Source organism: Homo sapiens, chromosome 1 (assembly GCF_000001405.40).
Source record: "Homo sapiens chromosome 1, GRCh38.p14 Primary Assembly".
Lineage (NCBI taxonomy): Eukaryota > Metazoa > Chordata > Mammalia > Primates > Hominidae > Homo > Homo sapiens.
In genome coordinates, this window is record NC_000001.11 from 10,604,288 (window position 1) to 10,623,716 (window position 19,429).

At 48.1% G+C, this 19,429-nt stretch overlaps 1 protein-coding gene and 1 pseudogene across 10 annotated transcripts in view, besides 4 other annotated features; both read left to right on the forward strand.

Annotated features, from left to right (window-relative positions):
- Positions 1-19,429, forward strand: part of PEX14 (peroxisomal biogenesis factor 14) — a 155,809-nt gene that overhangs the window by 129,338 nt on the left and 7,042 nt on the right. For all 10 annotated transcript variants that reach the window (XM_047422544.1, XM_047422546.1, XM_047422545.1 and 7 more), the window contains 2 exons: positions 14,045-14,130; positions 18,732-18,834. In XM_047422544.1, coding sequence (XP_047278500.1) covers positions 14,045-14,130; positions 18,732-18,834 — 189 coding nt within the window. The remainder of the gene's footprint in view (positions 1-14,044; positions 14,131-18,731; positions 18,835-19,429) is intronic.
- Positions 11,245-11,930: an enhancer, noted in NCBI's record as "H3K27ac-H3K4me1 hESC enhancer chr1:10675589-10676274 (GRCh37/hg19 assembly coordinates)". NCBI's record gives its function as "activates a minimal SCP1, AML or CMV promoter by ChIP-STARR-seq in primed H9 embryonic stem cells {active_cell/tissue: H9 hESC(primed)}" and the evidence as "EXISTENCE:reporter gene assay evidence [ECO:0000049][PMID:30033119]".
- Positions 11,931-12,614: an enhancer, noted in NCBI's record as "H3K4me1 hESC enhancer chr1:10676275-10676958 (GRCh37/hg19 assembly coordinates)". NCBI's record gives its function as "activates a minimal SCP1, AML or CMV promoter by ChIP-STARR-seq in primed H9 embryonic stem cells {active_cell/tissue: H9 hESC(primed)}" and the evidence as "EXISTENCE:reporter gene assay evidence [ECO:0000049][PMID:30033119]".
- RN7SL614P (RNA, 7SL, cytoplasmic 614, pseudogene) lies at positions 12,549-12,828 on the forward strand (annotated as a pseudogene).
- Positions 14,112-14,666: an enhancer, noted in NCBI's record as "H3K27ac-H3K4me1 hESC enhancer chr1:10678456-10679010 (GRCh37/hg19 assembly coordinates)". NCBI's record gives its function as "activates a minimal SCP1, AML or CMV promoter by ChIP-STARR-seq in naive H9 embryonic stem cells {active_cell/tissue: H9 hESC(naive)}" and the evidence as "EXISTENCE:reporter gene assay evidence [ECO:0000049][PMID:30033119]".
- Positions 17,823-18,322: an enhancer, noted in NCBI's record as "H3K4me1 hESC enhancer chr1:10682167-10682666 (GRCh37/hg19 assembly coordinates)". NCBI's record gives its function as "activates a minimal SCP1, AML or CMV promoter by ChIP-STARR-seq in primed H9 embryonic stem cells {active_cell/tissue: H9 hESC(primed)}" and the evidence as "EXISTENCE:reporter gene assay evidence [ECO:0000049][PMID:30033119]".

The following is a 19,429-nucleotide window of genomic DNA, read 5'->3' on the forward strand; positions in this document are numbered from 1 at the left end:
GGCTAACACAAAAGCATATAGATGTGAAACTGATGAATTTAAGAAACTCCAGGTTGTTGGACGTGGCGCCTGTAATCCCAACTCTTTGAGAGGCTGAGACAGGAGGAGCACTTTGAAGCTAGGAGTTCAAGACCAGCCTGGGCAACATAGTGAGATGCCATCTCTGTAAAAAAATTTAAAAAACAAAACTAGCCAGGCATGGTGGTGCGTGTACTTGGGAGGCTGAGGTGGGAGGATTGCTTGAGCCCAGGAGATCGAGTCTGCAGTGAACCATGGTTGTACCCCTGCACTCCAGCCTGGGCTCCAGAGCAAGGCCCTGCCTCTAAAAAACCAAAAAGAAAGAAACTCTGAGTTGTTCAGAGTGGCTGGAGCATGGGATGAGAGTCAGAGGAAATGGCTGGAGAAAGGGTGGCTCTGTCAGCTCCGACAGAGGACAGCCAAAAGCACAGTGATGTTTTACTTTGAAATGCATCATCTAATTATTTTTGTGCCATACGACCTATTTGGCCATTTTATTCTTAGATTAATATTAAAATTATTTGTATCATCTCAGCAGGTGCCATGAGGTTAGTTAGGGGAGACATGGGTGGGGGGGCATCAGCCGGAGGCCATTGTTCTTGTGCCGAGCCTGTAGTGCCTACCCTGTGTGCTCACTGTTGTTCTCCATGGTTGGGCCAGCACTCGCTCCTCCAGGGAGTCTTTCCAGTGCCTCCATTCTGACTTGGAGGGAAGCTCCCCTCAGGCCCCTAGACTCCCCACCCCGCCCCACTGCACTTAAACATTTATTCCAGTGTCTCCCCTATTAAACTGTGAGTTCTGAGGCTTAAAAAAATCTAGTGGCCTGAGGCTCTGACTGAGCAGGTGTTCTAGAAATGCTTGTGGAATGGATTAACAGGGGTGGAAATGTGCTTGAGAATGGAAGGGCTATCATGTGGACGAGCTGCCCTGGTGGTCGGTCGGTGATACGGTCTGTGAGCCCAGCTGGTGCAGACTGCTCTGGGCAAGCTATGGAAGAAGTAGGGGATGGGACCCACCTTCAGGAGCTGCTGTTCATCGTAGAGGGAAGCCCTCCATTGCTTGGAGAAAGACAGGGAAGACCATCCCACGTCACCTTGCATGGTGAGAATGTTGAGAGCTTTCAGAATTTGAGAACAAAGGAAATTCCCAGAACGCTAGTCTTAGGCAAGGCTTTCTAGAAGGGGCAGGACTTGAACTGGCTTTGAAGATCAGTCAGCCATAAGGTAGACCCAAGGTGTCAAGGAAGACATCACTGTGGAGAGGGAACAGCAAAGGCCCGGGGCCAGGGTGGCCTGTGCGTAAGTGATACTGAGGTGACAGTAAACAGAAAGCATGCATGGGTGGCCTCGGGGTTCCCGTCAGAAAGCAAAATAGCAAATGTCGCCTCCACCTCTCTCTCTGTCTCTTCCATTTCTCTCTCATGCTTCCATTTCTTTCTCTGCTGGTTTAGCAGACAAATCTCTCTTTTTGCTACCTGAAAGTTACTGGTTTGTATATGAAGAAAGTATTTCTTTAATTTTGAGGAAATTGTGTTTTCTTTTGTCCGTGGTGCCGGTTTGGATTAGCAAGCACCCTCTCCATTTTGTTGCTGTGTGTTCTGCCTGGTGTGGTGCCACATGGGGGCTGAATAAATGCCATTCGCGGATGTTGAAGAGGGTAAGTATCACGGGAAGGAACCGAAATGAAGTGATCCTTTCCTTAGGTTTCTTGGACCATTACAAGTCTTTGGTGTTGATGGCAGTTAGGATTCTGGCTGTGCTGACAGTGTGTTAGTTTTAGAAAATTCTGCTACAGGTGACAGAGAACTCCAAACAAGAGTGGCTTAAAGAGAGAGGAATTTTTCTCTATTACATAAATGTAGGCAGCCCAGGCTGCCAGGAGGCTCTGTGGTCTGCAGGAACCCTACTCTGCCTCACTGCTCTGCATTCCTGACTGGCTCTCATCCGTCTCGTGGTGCAGTGTGAATGCTTCAGCTCCAACTATCCCACCTGCTGTCCAGCCAGCGAGAGCGGGGAGAAAGCGGGAAAAGGGCAGGCTGCCTTCTAAGGACACCTCTTGGAAATTGCCCATGTCCCTTCCACTTTCTCCCCATTGGCTGGATCTTGCATGGCTATCCTTGCCTGCGAGTGAGGCTGAGATGTAGTCCTGATCTCGTCAGCACATGTCCTCAGCTTTCCATATCCCATAGGAGGTTTGAGTTCTGATAAATACTGGGTTTAGGATAATGGTTGCCTCTGGGCTGGGGAGGAACACATGGCTAGCTTCAGTGGTATTTGGAAAGTTCTAGCTAGTAAATTAGGCAGGTTTAGAATTGCTCATTGTATTCCTGTTCTTATAACTTAAATAAATGTTATATTCTTTTGTATGTGTCAAATATTACAGGGTATGTTTTTTAAAGTTGCATTAGAATTCTCAGGTCTGGCTTCTTCTCTTGGTCCCAGCTGCAAGCTGTGCAGAGAGAAAACTTAGAGCCTACACCACTGGGTAGTGTTCCCAAGCACTCCTGACTTCCTGTAGCTCTTTTTTAAAAAAAATTCTGAATGGATTTTTTATTTTTTAAAAGTCTTATTGAGATGTAATTTACGTAAAATAAAATACACCCATTTTAATTGTACAATTTGAGTTTTGATAAGTGTACATTTCCATATAACCATCACTACATGACAGAACATTTCCAATACCCTGAAAGGTTCCCTTGGGTCCCATTTCCAGTCAATCCACCCTCCTTGATCCTGGCTTGAGGGCAACCACTGATCTGCTTTCTATTACTACCTATTAGATTTCTTTCCTAGAGTTTTTTTTCTTTTTTTAATATAAATAGAATCATACAGTATTGTACTCTCTTGTTTCTATTTTTTTTCTTTCCGCTCAGCGTAGTGTTGCCGAGATTCACCCAAATTGCTGTGCGCATCCGAAGCCTTTTCCTTTTTACCATTGGGTGGGTGGTATTCCATTGTAGGGATGCACCACAGTTTGTTTATCCATTCACCAGTTGATGGACTTTGGGTTGTTTCCAGCTTTGAGCTATTACGAATAAAACTTTTGTGAACATTCGTATACAAGTCTTTGTATGTTTTTATTTCTCTTGGGTGAGCGCCTAGAAGTAGAATTGTTGGTTTATATGTTAAGTGTATGTTTAACTTTATAAGAAGCTGCTAAACTGTTTTCTGGAGTGGTTGCATCATTTTACCTTCCCACCAGCAATGTTTGAGAGTTCTAGTTGCTACATATCCCCAACAGTTGGTCTTCTCAGTCTTTTTAATTTTAGCAGTTTTAGTGTGTATATGCTGGTATCTCATGGTGGTTTGGGTTTATATTTCTTTGATGACTGATTAGGTTGAACCTCTCTTTGTGTGTTTATTGTCCACTTGCATATCTTTCTTGTGAAGAGTGTGTTTCAGTATTTTGCCCATTATTAACAGTCTTCTTACTGAGTTGAATGAGGTTTTTAATGTATTCTGGATTCAAGTTGTTGGTCAGATACATGTATTATGAGTATTTCCTCCCAGTTGGTGGCTTGCCTTTTTATTTTCCTAACATTACCTTTTGAAGAGCACACAATTTTAATTTTGATGACATATATTTATCTTTTTTTCCTTTTATGATTCATGGTTTTGCATCCTAAAGAAGACTTTGTCTATTCCAAGGTTGAAGAGACTTTCTCCTATATTGTCTTCTAGGAGACACTGTCTCACTCTGTCACCCAGGCTGGAATGCAATGGCCTGATGTTGGCTCACTGCAACCTCTACCTCACGGGCTCAAGTGATCCTCCTGCTTCAGCCTCCCAAGTAGTGGGGACTACAGGTGTGTGCCACCACACCTGGCTAATTATTGTATTTTGTGGAGAGATGGGTTTTCACCATGTTGCCCAGGCATGAGCCACTGCACCCAGTTTATAGCGTTAGTTTTTATGTTTAGGTCTGTGATCTATTCTTAGTTAATTTTCGTGAATGGTGTGAGGTGAAGGTCAAGGTTCGTTTCTCCCCATAAGGATATCCAGTTGTGCCTATACCTTATGTTCAAAAGATTATCTTATCCGCATTGAGTTACATGTCTATAAAAAATCAACTCACAGCCAGGCTTGGTGGCTCACATCTGTAATCCCAGCACTTTGGGAGGCCAAGGTGGGCGGATTGCCTGAGCTCAGGAGTTCGAGACCAGCCTGGCCAACATGGTGAAACCCGGTCTCTACTAAAAGTACAAAAATTAGCTGGGTGTGGTGGCAGGTGCCTGTAATCCCAGCTACTCAGGAGGCTGAGGCAGGAGAATGGCTTGAACCTGGGAGGTGGAGGTTGCAGTGAGCTGAGATTGTGCCACTGCATTCCAGCCTGGGTGACAACAGCGAGACTCCGTCTCAAAAAAAAAAAGAAAAAAAAAAAATCAACTGACTATATATGAATGGGTCTGTTTCTAGATTCCTCTTTTAAAAAAAAATAAAAAAAAAAACAAAGCTATCGAAGTATACTTTATATGTCATACAACTCATCCATTTCAACTATACAATTCAATGATTTTTAGTAACTTTACCGAGTGATGCAGCTGTCACCATAAATCAGCTTTAGAGTACTTCACCTCCCCTGCAAGATCCTTTGGGCCCATTTACTGTTAATCCCTCTTCCCACCTCTAGCCCCAGGCAACCACTAATCTCCTTTTCATCACTATAAATGTCCCCTTTTCTGGACATTTCAGGTAAATGGAATCAGAATATGTGATCTCTTGTACCTGGCCTCTTTCACTTAACCTGATGTTTTTGAGGTTCATCCATATTGTAGCATGTATCAGTAATTCATTCCATTTTATCATGGAATAGTATTCTGTTGTCTGGTTGTACCTCATTTTGTCCATCAGTTCAGCAGTCGATGGACATTTAGATTGTCTCCAATTTTGGTGAAGATGAATAATGCTGCAAAGAACATTTCTGTGCAAGTTCTGTGTGGACATACGTTTTCATTCCTCTTGGGTAGATATCTAGGAGTGGAATTGCTGGATGTGGTAGTTTTATGTTTCTGGATCCTTCTTAATTCTTTTCTTTCTAATTAGCTTTTTGTAAGTATAATTTACATACAATAAGATACATCAATTTTAAGTATACAATTCAATGAGTTGTACAAACAAGTTGTAACTCATTTAACTCCTGTAACCAACACTACAATCACAATATAGAAAATTTCTATCACCCCAGAAAGTTGCTTTGTGCCCTTTATGTCGTCCTTTTCCCCTGCCTCTGGTTTCTGTTAACCACCAATCTCTGCTCTGTCACTGTAGTTCCTTGTGCCTTTTCAAACATTTCTTATAGAACAGGTGCAGTGGCTCATGCCTGTAATTCCAGCACTTTGGGAGGCTGAGGAGGGCGGATCACCTGAGGTCAGGAGTTCGAGACCAGCCTGGCCAACATGGTGAAACCCTGTCTCTACTAAACGTACAAAAATTAGCTGGCCGTGGTGGCGGGCGCCTGTAATCCCAGCTACTCGAGAGGATGAGGCAGGAGAATCCCATGAACCCGGGAGGCGGAGGTTGCAGTGAGTTGAGATTGCACCATTGTACTCCAGCCTGGGTGACCGAACGAAGCTCCATCTCAAAAAATAAATAAATAAATAAAAATAAAACATTTTGTATAAATGGAACCATATAGTATGTAGACTTCTGTGTCTGGTTTCTTTACCGTAACATAATGGTTTTGAGATTGATTCATGTTTTTATATACATATATATGTATTGATATATAAATACATATTTATATAAATACATATAATTTTATTCATATATAATTTATATATGCATTTCTATATTATATGTAAATATATGTAATATATATTTGGAAAATACATATAAAAGGAATGAACTGTTTATGTCTATATCATGATTGTGATTCATGGTTTTTGCATCCTAAGAAGCCTTTGTCTACCCCAAGGTTGAAGAGACTTTCTCCTATATTGTCTTCTAGGAAGTTTTATAGTGTTAGTTTTTTGGAGACACCATCTCACTCTGTTGCCCAGAGTATATTTATTATATATTTATATATATTATACACAAATATATATAACTTTACATATATATATATATATACACACACACACACACACACACACACATATATATATACACAGAGAGAGAGAGATATCATTCTTTTTCATTACTGAGTTGTATTCCAGAGATCAGTGGGCTTTCTTTTTCGTTTTTCTTTTTTTTTTGAGATGGAGTTTCACTCTTGTTGCCCAGGCTGGAGTGCAATGGCGTGATCTTGGCTCACTGTAACCTCTGCCTCCCGGGTGGGTTCAAGTGATTCTCCTGCCTCAGCCTCCCGAGTAGCTGGGATTATAGGCATGCGCTACCACGCCTGGATAATTTTGTATTTTCAGTAGAGACGAGGTTTCTCCATGTTGGTCAGGCTGGTCTCGAACTCCTGAACTCCTGACCTCAGGTGATCCGTCCGCCTTGGCCTCCCAAAGTGCTGGGATTACAGGCATGAGCCACTGCCTGGACTTTTTCTTTAAATGGGTATATTTTAGACTTTGTGAGCCACATATCTCTGTCACATGTTTTCCTTCTCACCTTTTTCTCTTCTCCCTTCATCCTCTCTTCTTTCTCCTCCTTCTTCCTCTTCCTGTTCTTCTTCTCCCTTTCCCATGACCACAATTCTTTAAAAATTTAATAACCAGGCTGGGTGCGGTTGCTCACGCCTGTAATCCCAGCACTTTGGGATGTGAGTTGGGTGGATCACTTGAGGTCAGGAGTTTGAGGTCAGGAGTTTGAGGTCACCATGCCTGGCCAGCATGGTGAAACCCTGTCTGTACTAAAAATATAAAAATTAGCTGAGCCTGGTGGCATGCCTGTAGTTCCAGCTACTTGGGAGGCTGAGGCAGGAGAATCACTTGAACCCAGGAGGTACAGGTTGCAGTGAGCTGAGATTGCGCCACTGCACTCCAGCCTGGGTGACAGAGCAAGACTCTGTCCCCCCACCGAAATAAAAAAAAAATTAATAGCCATTCTTAGCTCATGGCTACATAAAAATAGGCTAAAGTAGGATTGGCCAACTGGCTATAGTGCCAACTTCTGTTGCTCCATGTACCGCAATTTCTTTATCTGTTGACCAGTTGGTAGTCATCTGGCTTGCTCCCAGTTTGGGGCTATTATGAGTAAAGCTGCTGTGAACATTCATGTATAAATCTTTATGTGCACTTATACTTTCATTTCCTAGGAGTGGAATGGCTTAGTCACATGTTAGGTCCATGTTTAACTTTAAAAGAAACTGTCAAACTATTTCCCAAAATGGTTGTAGCGTTTGTGTTCCCATCAGCAATATGTAAGAGTTTCAGTTGCTCCATATCTTTGTCAACACCCGATAGTCTCATTTTTGAGTTTAGCCATTCTAATGTGTATGTAATGGAACCTTATTGTATAGTACTTTTAATTTGGATTTCCCTAATGGCTAATGACATCAAGCATATTTTCATGTACTTATTGGCCATTCGTATATCTTTTGTACAGAGTCTCTTCCAATCTTATGCCCATTTTAAAAGCCACTTTGTCTTTTTATTATTATTGAATTGTCAGAGCTCTTTATGTATTCTAGTTACAAGTGCTTTGTCAGATATATGCTTGGCAGATATTTTCTCCCAGCCTATGGCTTGTCTCTTCATTTTCTTGACAGTGCCTTTTGAAAAGCAAAAGCTTTAAATTTTGATGGTGTCCATTTGATCAGTTTTTTCCTTTTTGGTTCATGCTTCTTATATCTTAAGATGTTTTTGTTTACCCCAAGGTTGCAAAGATTTTCTTCTATGTTTTCTGATTTCTTATAGAAGTTTTATAGTTTTTGCTTTCTTGTTTAGGTGTGACCCATTTTGAGTTAATTTTTGTGTATGGTATAAGGTGAGAGTCAAGGTTCATTTTTTTTTCCTATGGATATCCAGTTGTTCAGCATGGCTGTTGCAAAAATTATCCTTTCCCCATAGAGCTACCTTGGCCTCTATCAAAAATCAGTTGACCATGTAAGCATGGGTCTATTTCTGGACTCTTCTGAATTCTTAACAGCTTAATTAGAGCTCATATTTTTTAATCTATGGACAGGGGATATAGATATGCCTCTCGGTGTCCTTCCTGCCTAAAGATGACACTGCTAATGGCATTGTAGCCCATGAAAAGTGGAAAAGATTGTCTTTCATGGGATGTACGTGTAAATACAGGCTTTGCATTTTCCAACAGGACTACTGTTGGGCTACTGTGGTGCCTTTTGCCATCCAGGCTGCCAAGTCCTTCTGTTCAGAGCAGAGACGATCTGTTTCTGTTGCTGCTCTCTGGGCCTGTCTTTCTGCCCACTGCCAGCCATCCACAGCCATGTGCTTCAGGGCCCACCCCGCCCCCAAGCTATAGCCAGCCCTTCTCAGCCCAGCCAGGTCCCCGTCTCTCTGCACTTGTGCTCTCCACCTCTGTGCTGTAGCAAGCACTGATTTGGTGGGCTGGCTTTATTCCAGGACCTTACTGGGAGTGAGCCTGTCTTGTCATTTAATTTTCAGGGTGGCTTCTGAGCGAAGCTGATGGGCTGATGTGAGAAGCTAGAGACACTGCTGTATAGAGACATGGCTCCAACCCTGATGAGCCTGGAGGCGACCTCAATGGGCTGGCCCCGTTTCTACCACTGCCTTGCCCATGCTTGGGCTGCCAGCCTCCCCAAGGACGTGAGAGTTCTCTCCCTCTTGTCAGCCAGCACATCACTGGAGTGCCTGTTGTCTCGGCAGGATGGTTCCGTGACAGCTCTCAGCTCTGTGTTGCCGATGAACCTTTACTGGATTGCAGGATTTCCATGGTGTGGATCGGTCTGTGACTTGCTCAGCAAGGTTTCAGGCTCAACATTGCCGTGTTGTATGCACAAGTCCTAGTCCTGTGCATGTGTTCTTAGTTGATGATGTTTGTTCTCACCTGTTAGGTGAGAATTTGGTTGGTGGAGGTATAAAGAAACAGAGTCATGTTGGTTTTGTTGGTGTTCAGTGAATAGTTAGGAGCTGTGGGGATGCACCTCTCCTGCCCCCGCTCTACCATGGTTTTACCCAAACTGGAGCCTTTGCGCAGGCTGACCTCCATGGAGCCGGGCAGAGCTTAAGCTAGTTCGTGGAGTCCTTGGAAGGTTGGGTTTTGAAGAGCTCCATGCCCTTTGCTCTATAGCAGTTTATCCCCTGACCTCATTGCAGCCCACAGCGCCACAGCGTAGAGGCAGTCCAGGAAGGCCCAGGTGTGCAGGATGAGGATTGCCACCACAGATGCCCGTCTCTTCAGCCTTCACAGAGATGCCAGGGCTTTGGTACTGGTGAGGAACCCCTGCCACGCAGCTAGGGCGCCGGTCCTTAGACAGCTGGGCTCTGAGTGAGAGTGAAGATATCGCCTGTTCTTGGATTCTTTGGGGCTCACAAAGCCCTGCCACCTTCAGTCAGTGCTTGATAAGAAGAGAAAAATGTCCTTGGAACCCCCCTGGCTGGTGGTGGCATGAGGGTTTCTGACCCCAGGCTTGTTGCCCACTTGCTACCTTGTCTGCCTTGTCTGCATGGCAGGCCAGTCCCTGCTTCCAGAGTGGAGACTCGAAGCATTTAAAAAGCCCACTCATTCTCTTCCTTTTCTTCCCAGCTAGAGAAGAGTGACTGCCCCATCTCCTGCCCTTGTCTTTATACCTCCGGACATTCAGGGAGCCTGGTGGCGGGGAGGTGTGTTCCCAGGCGCCCTGCTCTCAGTTCCCTTGCGGGGTCTGCACCAGACTTGGAAAAAATAGGCCCCAGGGTGGGGAGGGGCAGGACTTGAGGTGGTCGTGGCTGGGAGTTTGAGCTAGTGTGGACTGTGCTAATGTTTTTGCAGTAGCCTGGTCTGTTACCCTCTGAGAGCCACACAGCGGGTAGGAGTCATCTCTATCCGAGTTTTTCTCTTTTTTCATTTTGCCACAAGACAGAATTGTATCACACATCTCCAAAACGAGTAAAATGGCATTTCAGCTTCTTGTCTTTATAGACTCTCTGAACTTTAGGAAAGATCATTCTGGTCCCTTTTCATTAATAATGAAAACCAGGGGGCAATAAAATGTTCTTAACGTGAGCATGGCAGGAATGAGGAGCGGTGAGGGGTGAAGGGTGAGGCTGCAGGGACCACAGGTGTTTCTTGGGGCTGGAATAGCTCAGAACTCTGGAAAGTGAGGCAGCTATTGGGAGGGTCCTGGTCCTCAACCCACACAGCCAGCGTCTGCTCAGCCTTGACAGCCCAGAGGGCCCCAGAGAAGGCTGTCCTTCTCATGGCGGGATGTTTGCGGGTGAGCAGAGGAATCCAGCAAACTCCAGGTGCTGGTCAAGCTTTCAGCCAAGTCACAGCTGCTTTCTTGCAAGAGGCTTCATGGTGTCTGAGAAATCAGTGGTGAATATGGTATTCGGGCCGTGGGCCCCGTTCTGCACTTGTTCTGCCTGAGGATTTTGGCTGCAGGGAGGGATGTTCCGGGTATGGATGAAGGCCCTCCTGAGCAGGGACTCTGAGAGAGCGGGGTGGCCAGGTTGCTCTGTCTTCACTTTTTCCTCCTGAAAATGGACTTGCACTAGATGTCAGGTTTTGTATCTGGAGCGCCAAGCAAAGCTGGCTAGAAGAGGGGAGACAGAAGAGACACCTGACCAGGACTCCAAGTGCCCGGCTCCTTGGGGTCGAGGTGAAAGATCCGTCTGCCTCAGTGCTCTTAGAGCTCCCTGTATAACGAGAGGTGATTTGTGTCGGGTGGGGGTGTCCACCATCAGTGAAGTAGCACTGTCCCCTTCCCATGGCAGTTTCTTAGACACCGAGTGTCACTGCACAGCCTGGGAAGGGAGTGGGGGAAGTCCTTGCTAACCATAACACAAACCCCAGAACCCATAAAAGAATAGATTGATAAATTTGTATAAAAACCTCTGCATGCGACAAAACACCATTAGCAGAGTCAAAAGAAAAATAAACCAGAGAAGATGTTTGCGATGCAGATCACAGACAGCGGGCTAATATCCCTGCTATATAAAAAGTCTCTCTAAAGTGACAAGGGAAAAGAAATCAAGTAGAAAAGTGGAGAGCATACAGTACACCGAAAAGGAAATGCTGATGAAAACATGCTCAATCCTCACTCAAAATGAGATCAATGCAAATTAGAACTAGAGTGAACTTCTGTTTTCCTGCTGTGGTATTGGCAGGAATCTCTGCGTTTGAATCGTGCATTGTGTGGGCGCAGCCGTGGGGAAGCAGGCATTGCGCAGCGGCTCAGGGTGAATTATCGGCCCCATGGAGGCAGGGTGGCAGTATTTCTCAAAACTGCAAATGCACACGCCCTGGGACCACCCTCTGGGGGTTCTGAGGCTCACAGGGTGCGTGTCCCCATGTGGGAGATGGCACGTGTGCACGTTGTTGATGGCAGCGTGGTGTGCAGTAGTAGAAAGTTGGAAATGAGCTGGGTGCCCATCGGAGGGCAGGTGAAGTGGAATATCCTGCAGCTGTAGAAAACAAGATTGAGAGATGGGGAAACGTGAAGGAAGAGAAGACATCCTGTGCCACCTTAGGTGTGCACACAGACTCACTGGAAGGATAAATGTAAGACTACTAATGGCTGTTGGTGGTGGGGAAGCCTTTTTTCACAGACTGCCCTGTGCTATTCGATGAGTAAACTGTATGCGTGCTACCTGTTCAAAAAGTGTAAAACAGAAATGGGAGTTGGGGACTGAGGGAGAGGCCCTATGTTGATTACAGTTTTGGGACCGAGATTCCAGGGCTAGGACACACCGGGGAGTCTCGCATGGAATCCGCAGGCAGGGAGGGAGTTTGGTGGCCAAGGAGGGACTCCAGGCCCCTCCAGCCCTGTCGTCTCTGCCCCCTGAGAGTGCCATTCAGCAGCCCTGGGGGAGGGGGTGTCTCCTTGCCCACTCGGAGGTCTTTGCGACTTGGATCCGCCTGGTGGGGCTGCGTGCCAGCAGCCCCTTCCCCCTCATGCCACATCCTGCCCTGAGCTGAAGGAAAGAACGGGCCTTCTCCTCCCCTGTGGTCATAAAACGCCAGGACATGGAAGGTACCTCTGAAAACTTACAGGCACAGGTGAGAACTGAGGGCAGAAGTCTCTCAAGCAGCAAGTCCTTCAGCTTCACTCGGCCGTGTTGTGACGTTCCTTCCCAGAGTTCAGAACGCTGCTGATTTTCCCTCTCCCCCTTTCTCCCAGATGAGCAGCACACTGTGGGGGCGCCTTCCGGATAGCTCTCCACTGGTGCTGTGATCGCCTTCCCCGCTGGTCTGTGTCCCACCCACGCCCCTCCTGATGACAGATCCTTCGGGGGGAGGCAGAGCACCCGCCACGTGGCCTGGAGATGGCCGCTCCAGAAAGGTGTTCGCAGTGGAGACGGGGCTCTCCCGCGTGCCTTGGAGGATCAGATGAGGTTGTGGACGTGGGAGCACTTTGTGAACTGGGCATGGGAAAGAGTGAAGGTGGAAACTCTCCCCACGTCAAGTAGAATTGCATTCAGGAGGGCACTTTGCTATGTGCCGTTCTAAAGAGAATCGGCCGGGCGCGGTGCTGCTCGCCTGTAGTCCATCTGCTTGGGAGGCTGAGGTGAGAGGATTCCTTGAGTCCAGGAGTTCCGGGCTACGGGGCACTGTGCTGATCGGGGTTCTGCACTAAGTTCTGCATCAATATGGTGACCTCCTGGAGCAGGGGACCACGAGGTCGCCTAAGGAGGTCAGAAATGGAGCCGGTCAAAACTCCCATTCTGATCAGCAGTGGGACATGCCTGTGGATCGCCACTGCACTCCAGCCTGGGCAACATAACAAGAGCCCATCTCTAAAAAGATTACTTAATACAAATAAAGAGAAGAGAACGGGGCCAGGTGATCTTCCATGAAGACTGGCTGCCCTTCACAGCAGCAGCAATGTGTTCTCCTGAGACATTGCCCCACTCCCTTCTTGCCCTCTGTGCTGGTCCCAGTCCCTCTCCACCTCGTGAACCCTTGCAGCAGGCTCGCCCCAGCTCTTCTGCCTCTGCGGCCCCCACTTCTGACCACCCTCAGAGCCTCCCCAGTGCTGCTGTCCAGGGTCATGGCACTCCCTGATTCACATCCCCCAGTAATTCCCATTGCTTAGGAAAGAATATTCGGCTTCCTTGACCACACAGTCCACCTGGTGCCACCTGTCTACCTCTTTCCTGCCCCGCCCCAGCCCCCACTGTACCTGCGGCTTCCTTGGCTCCTCTCCGTTCTCCCCAGCACCCTGCTCTTGGGGTCCTCTGGGCCAGAGCAGCTCTCCTCTCTAGTCAGGCCCAGGGTGCTCACCTGGTCTACACCCACCTACCGTCTCTCTTTTGTGCTTGCTCCCCTCCAGCCCCCAAGGGCCTCAGGGCTCCTCCAAGGCCCTGCTGACCCCAGCCCCTCTCCCCTGCCACCCCCATCCCTTTTGATAGGCGTTCTCATTCTCTGAAGCCTTGCTCAGTCATTTGGAGACTTGTGTTTTCTCTCCTCTGGCTCCAAGCGAGAGCAGGGCTGGGAGGTCTAGTTTACCACAGCCCACCCCCGTGCCCCCACCCAGCGTACCACGGTCCCCCTCTCCACTTCGCTGAGGCCCCGCTTGGTTCTGCTGTGGCCCCCAGCTTATCGCCAGCTATAGTAGGGCATATATGGGTATATTTATGCTCCCCTAAACATACTCCTGTTATCCTCTCTGGATCTTTTGTTCCTGAGGTAGAGACCATGCTGTTGGTCTTCAGATCACCTCTGCCACCTGACTGCCAACTCAGGTCTCAGCTCACTGCTAGATACCTCCACCCACAGCCTGCAGTCAGGGTTGGGTGACTGGCATCCCTTGTGTCCCAGTTGAGGCAGTGGGAACAGGAGGGGTGGAGCCGGCTGCTGTTGTGATGATCATGTGCTGCCTTCCTGCGTTGGAGTGTTCCACTTGCCCATTGTTGGAGGCGAGGAGACTGTGCCACTGAGGCACCTGTGCCAGCCCCCACCCGAAGAAGGACGCCATGTGCGTCTTCTAACCCTCCTCCTCTTCCCGCCTGTAGGTCCCGCAGGCTCCCGATGGCGAGATTACGGCGCCCTGGCCATCATCATGGCAGGCATTGCATTTGGCTTTCACCAGCTCTACAAGGTGAGTCACCCCCAGCGGCTGCAGGTGCTGTGCCCCTGCCACCCTGTGGCATTCAGCACCCTTTCACTGGTTCCCCTGCATGGAGGCACTGCCGTGCTCTGCCCTGGAGTGTGTTGGCAGTGAGAGGCTGTGGTAGAGGTCGGGGTTCACAGCTGGATCCAGGCAGACCCTGCCCTGCTGTGGGGCTTGGCAGGCTCTGCCCACCTTTTCTCCAGTGCTCAGCATATACCACCCAGATCTCCACTTGCAGGGGCGTCGTGAGGTCTGTCCCTTGCCAGCCCATGTCAGGCACTTACAGTAGTGCCCGCACGGGGAAGCCGTGCGAGCAGTTTTGAGACACAGAATAACATAATGGCGAAGAGCATGGACGCTGGGCCAGCTGCTTTGCTGAGCCCTGGCTCTGCCCCTCAGGAGCTTGGTGATCACAGGCTCTGGTCTGTAAAATGGGAATAACAGTCCCCACTTCACAAGGTTGTCGTGAAGTCCGGAAGAGTCAGTCTCCCTTGTAGAGGACTCAGAGCCATGCCCGGCACATGGAAGTGCTTTATACACCATTGTTCTGCCACAGCATTTAAGAGCGGCGGTGAGAACCTCAGTGTCATCAGATGTATGGGAGCTGTTCTTTTTGCTCTGTCTGTTGTGCTGCCATCTATAGAAATCTAGGATTTCCCAGGCTTCTCAAGTCAACTTTCAGGATCCCAGGTTCATTGCTTGCAACAGAACTGCAGGCATGACGTGAACATTGACTCCCTTGTGAAGGCCCAACTTGGACGTGAAGCAAATGAGTCTAGAGTCTAGAAAATGCAGGCCAGGGTAGGTGCCCAGTCCAGATCTTGGGACCCTGTAGAGAAGCCTCTTTTCTTTCGAGGCTGCCAGCTCCTCCACCCCTGATTGGTGATTTTTTTTTTTTTTTTTTTGAGATGGAGTCTCGCTCTGTCACCTAGGCCGGAGTGCAGTGGCATGATCTCGGCTCACTGCAAGCTCCGCCTCCTGAGTTCAAGCAATTCTCCTGTCTCAGCTTCCTGAGTAGCTGGGATTATAGGCGTGCTGGTGCATGCCTGGCTAATTTTTGTACTTTTAGTAGAGATGGGGTTTCACTGTTGGCCAGGCCGGTCTCGAACTCCTGACCTCAGGTGATCCGCCCACCTCGGCCTCCCAAAGTGCCAGGATTACAGGCTTGAGCCACCGTGCCCGGCTGGTGATTTTCTTTTTTAAACAACCTGAATGAGCACTCAGACTCGCCATGGTCACTCTTAGCACATGAAACATGGTCAGCCATGGTATTCCAGATTCTTCATTTTTGATGTAATACAAAAGCTAATGACAGTTGTAGCAGAATATAATTTTTTAAGTGTAGCATGTATTCCTGGAGCTGGACATTTCCATGTTAGAAATTGAGAAACAAGGGCTGGGCGCGGTGGCTCACGCCTGTAATCCCAGCACTTTGGGAGGCTGAGGCTGAGGATCCTGACTTGATCACGAGGTCAGTAGATCGAGACCATCCTGGCTAACACGGTGAAACCCCGACTCTACTAAAAATACAAAAAATTAGCCCAGCATGGCGGCGGGCACCTGCAGTCCCAGCTACTGGGGAGGCTGAGGCAGGAGAATGGGGTGAACCTGGGAGGCGGAGCTTGCAGTAAGCCAAGATCATGCCACTGCACTCTAGCCTGGGTGACAGAGCAAGACTCCTTCTCAAAAAAGAAAAAGAAAAAGAAAAAGAAATTGAGAAACAAAACATCCTGGGTTGGCCCAGGTGCCGTGGCTCACACCTCTAATCCCAGTACTTTGGGAGGCCAGGGCAGGCAGATTGCTTGAGCCCAGAAGTTTGATATTAGCCTGGCCAACATGGTGAAACTGTGTCTCTACCAAACAATAAAATAAAATAAAATAAAATAAAATAAAATAAAATAAATAAGCTAGGCATGGTGGTGTGAGCCTGTAGTCCCAGCTATACTCGGGAGGCTGAGGGTGGTGGGAGGATCACTTGGGCTCGGGAGGTGGAGGTTGCAGTGAACTGAGATCACACTACTGCACTCCAGCCTCGGCAACAGAAGGAGACCCTGTCTCAATTTAAAAAACAAAATAAGCCAGGCGCAGTGGCTCATGCCTGTAATCCCAGGACTTTGGGAGGCTGAGGTGGGCGGATCACTTGAGGTCAGGAGTTTGAGACCAGCCTGGCCAACAAGGTGAAACCCTGTCTCTACTGATAATACAAAAATTAGCTGGGTGTCATGGCGTGCACCTGTAATCCCAGCTACTTGGGAGGCTGAGGCAGGAGAATCACTTGAGCCTGGGAGGCATAGGTTGCAGTGAGCCTGCAGTGAGCCGAGATTGTGCCACTGCACTCCAGCGTGGGTGAAAGAGCGAGACTTTGTCTCAAATAAATACATAAATAAACAGAACAGAACAAAAACACCTCTTGGGACCCGGTTCTTCTCCCTCTGAACTGGTGCCCCCTTCAAATCACTGACTGTATACAAGCACCAAGAAGAATGTGACACGAACGCCAGAGTCCTCAGATGAATGCCCTGGCTGTAATGAGCAGTAGGCACTGTCACATGGCCACCCATGGAGGGCCTGTGGCCTGACGGGAGCGGGAGGGCAGCTCGGCAGCCCGCCTTAGCGTGGGCACTCACACGGAGCTGCCACTTGTAGTTTCTACGAAGCTCTGGGCTCTCCGCTCTGTTTTAAAAAGAAAAGAAACATTGCAATATCAGTCACAATGGTAACAAGAGAATTTCTAAAGCATCTGCTCAGTTTCTCGAAATTAAAAAAAAAAAAAAAAAGAAATGGTAAAAAGCCCTCGACTGGCTTTATAAGCACGTGAAGACTTTGGCTAGGGCAGCGTGTCTGCTCCTGCCCTTAGGACTTCTGATCTCAGAAATGGGGTGTTTAGTTGGTTACACACACATATATGAATTCTTTTTTTTTTTTTTTTTTTTTTGAGACACAGTCTAACTCTGTTACCCGGGCTGGAGTGCAGTGGCATGATCTCTGCTCACTGCAGCCTCTGCCTCCCGGGTTCAAGCGATTCTCCAGCCACAGCCTCCCGAGGAGCTGGGATTACAGGCATGCGCCACCACACTCAGCTAATCTTTATATTTTTAGTAGAGACGGAGTTTCACTGTGTTGGCCAGGCTGGTCTCGAACGCCTGACCTCATGATCTGCCCACCTCAGCCTCCCAAAGTGCTGGGATTACAAGCGTGAGCCACCGCGCCCGGCCAAGAATTCTTTACCTTTCTTGCTGAGGACATTTCATCCTGAAGTGTAAGGCTACCTTTGATGAGTTTTGGCTCAGTTGTGGGTAATAGCTCACACTGTGGTTGAAAAGCACTTTGCAAAATAGAAAATGCGTCTATACATGTGCTGCTGAAGAATGATCTTCACTTAGGAGTCACTCTGGAAATGAGTTCCCACAAACCCCTTGTGAGAGAGCTTCTTTTCCTTCCCTGGTACAGAAACCGTAATGGAGAAGTTTCCGTCCTCTTTCCTATCTGGGCCCAGATAGATTAAGAACCAAAGTTATCCCCGGGCAGCTCCTGCCAGGCTTGCACTGCACTGCCTCTGGCAGTGCCCACTGAAGGGGGCAGCGGGTCTCACTCCTCACCTGGGGGGCTTTGTCTCCATGTCCCGAGTGGCTGGACGTCAGTGCACATGTTCCTACACGCAGCTGTCCCTGCAGGCCCCACCACCCACCTCCACCCCTCCACACCCTCACCTCCAAGGCAACCAAGAGCACCAGTTGCCAGCCCTGCCCTGCCTGCCCCCTTCCTGAACGGCTCCTTCGGGCATCCCTGGTTCTAGGCCCCTGTGAGGGGTGGCCCTGCCGCATTCACTTTCTTTTTCCCCAGAGCCAGTTTCTTCTGGTCCTGCGCCTTCCTCTCCCTTCTGCCTTGTGTTTCCTTCTGGGGAACTCGACTTCTTTTGACTCTTACGTGAAGGAAGTTTGTTCTGAGGATTCAGGCTTCATTTAGAAAAAGACTGAGGTGACCTCTTCCAGCAGCCTCAGAGCGCACATGTTATCCCCTGGCGAGAGAACCAAGGGTCCCAGAAATGTGTTGTTGATTTTCCTTTAGTTTCTCCAGCGATGTTTTGTTTATTAATTTACTCGTTTGTTTCTGAATAGGTGATTCACTCACAGGTTCAAAATGTTCACAATTCAGGAGAACATGCCGGGAAGAGCTGCCCCGCCTCCCTCGCCTCCTGGAGGCTCCAGCATTATCTGTTGCTTGTGTGTCCATCCACATTTATATCTTACAACTTTGACAGTAGAGTTTATAACTTTGTGTTACAGAAATAGTGTAGCATCACTAAGAAAAGTAAATAAAGGAACCAAAAAGTTCCCATCACAGCAGATCCAGCTGACTCTCCCTGTCCACGTTCCCTCCTGGTCCTTGTCCTTATTCAGGCAGAATTTTTACGTGGTTGTAATCGCAGTCTCATAACTTTTTCAAATATCTTGTTCATTTATGGTGTTTGCTTAGGGTTTCCAAAACCCAGGGATGACAGGGAGAAAGTTGGGCGGCAGAATTTGAGAGATTGTTGGAGGATAACCCCGGGTCCGTATGCATTCCTCACCCTGTCCCGCTTCTTGCAGAAATACCTGCTCCCCCTCATCCTGGGCGGCCGAGAGGACAGAAAGCAGCTGGAGAGGATGGAGGCCGGTCTCTCTGAGCTGAGTGGCAGCGTGGCCCAGACAGGTAAAGATTAATGACTCCATCAAGTCACCCCTCACAGCCTTCTCCAAGCAGCCCCTTCTCTGCCCCTCCCCTCTCCCTCTGTCTCCACTCTATGTGGTGACTTCATTTATCTGCTCTGAGAATCTGTTCACATTTGCAAATGAAGCCGCCGTCATTTCGGTTTAATTTGAAATTGCTTGTTTACTGTCGGCGCGGCCTCAATTAATTATGTTTTTACGGAAAGGCTCCCAACCTCAGAATATTAATAAGGGGAATAAAATGACAGCCTTTCTAAGGGCTGTAAAGTTCATTTTTAATTTCTGCTTCTATGAGGTTTTCAGGGGGGTTTTCAGTGATTTTCCCCCTTCCCTCTAAGACTCGACTGTGGGGTCAAGAGAGTCTGTAATTACTGTGGCTCCCGGGACCCCAGCCACCTCCCCTGTTATCGACTCAACAGGGCTCGCGTTCATTACCCAGTGCCCCAGCGATGGCCCAGATTAGCTGGGACCTGTCGCGCCAGAGGTGGCTTCTCTTCTTTATAAACTTGTTTACTAGACGGCAGCTCTGAATCTAAAAACCAGAGCAAGGCCAATGAGAGAGCCACCTGTCCCAGGCA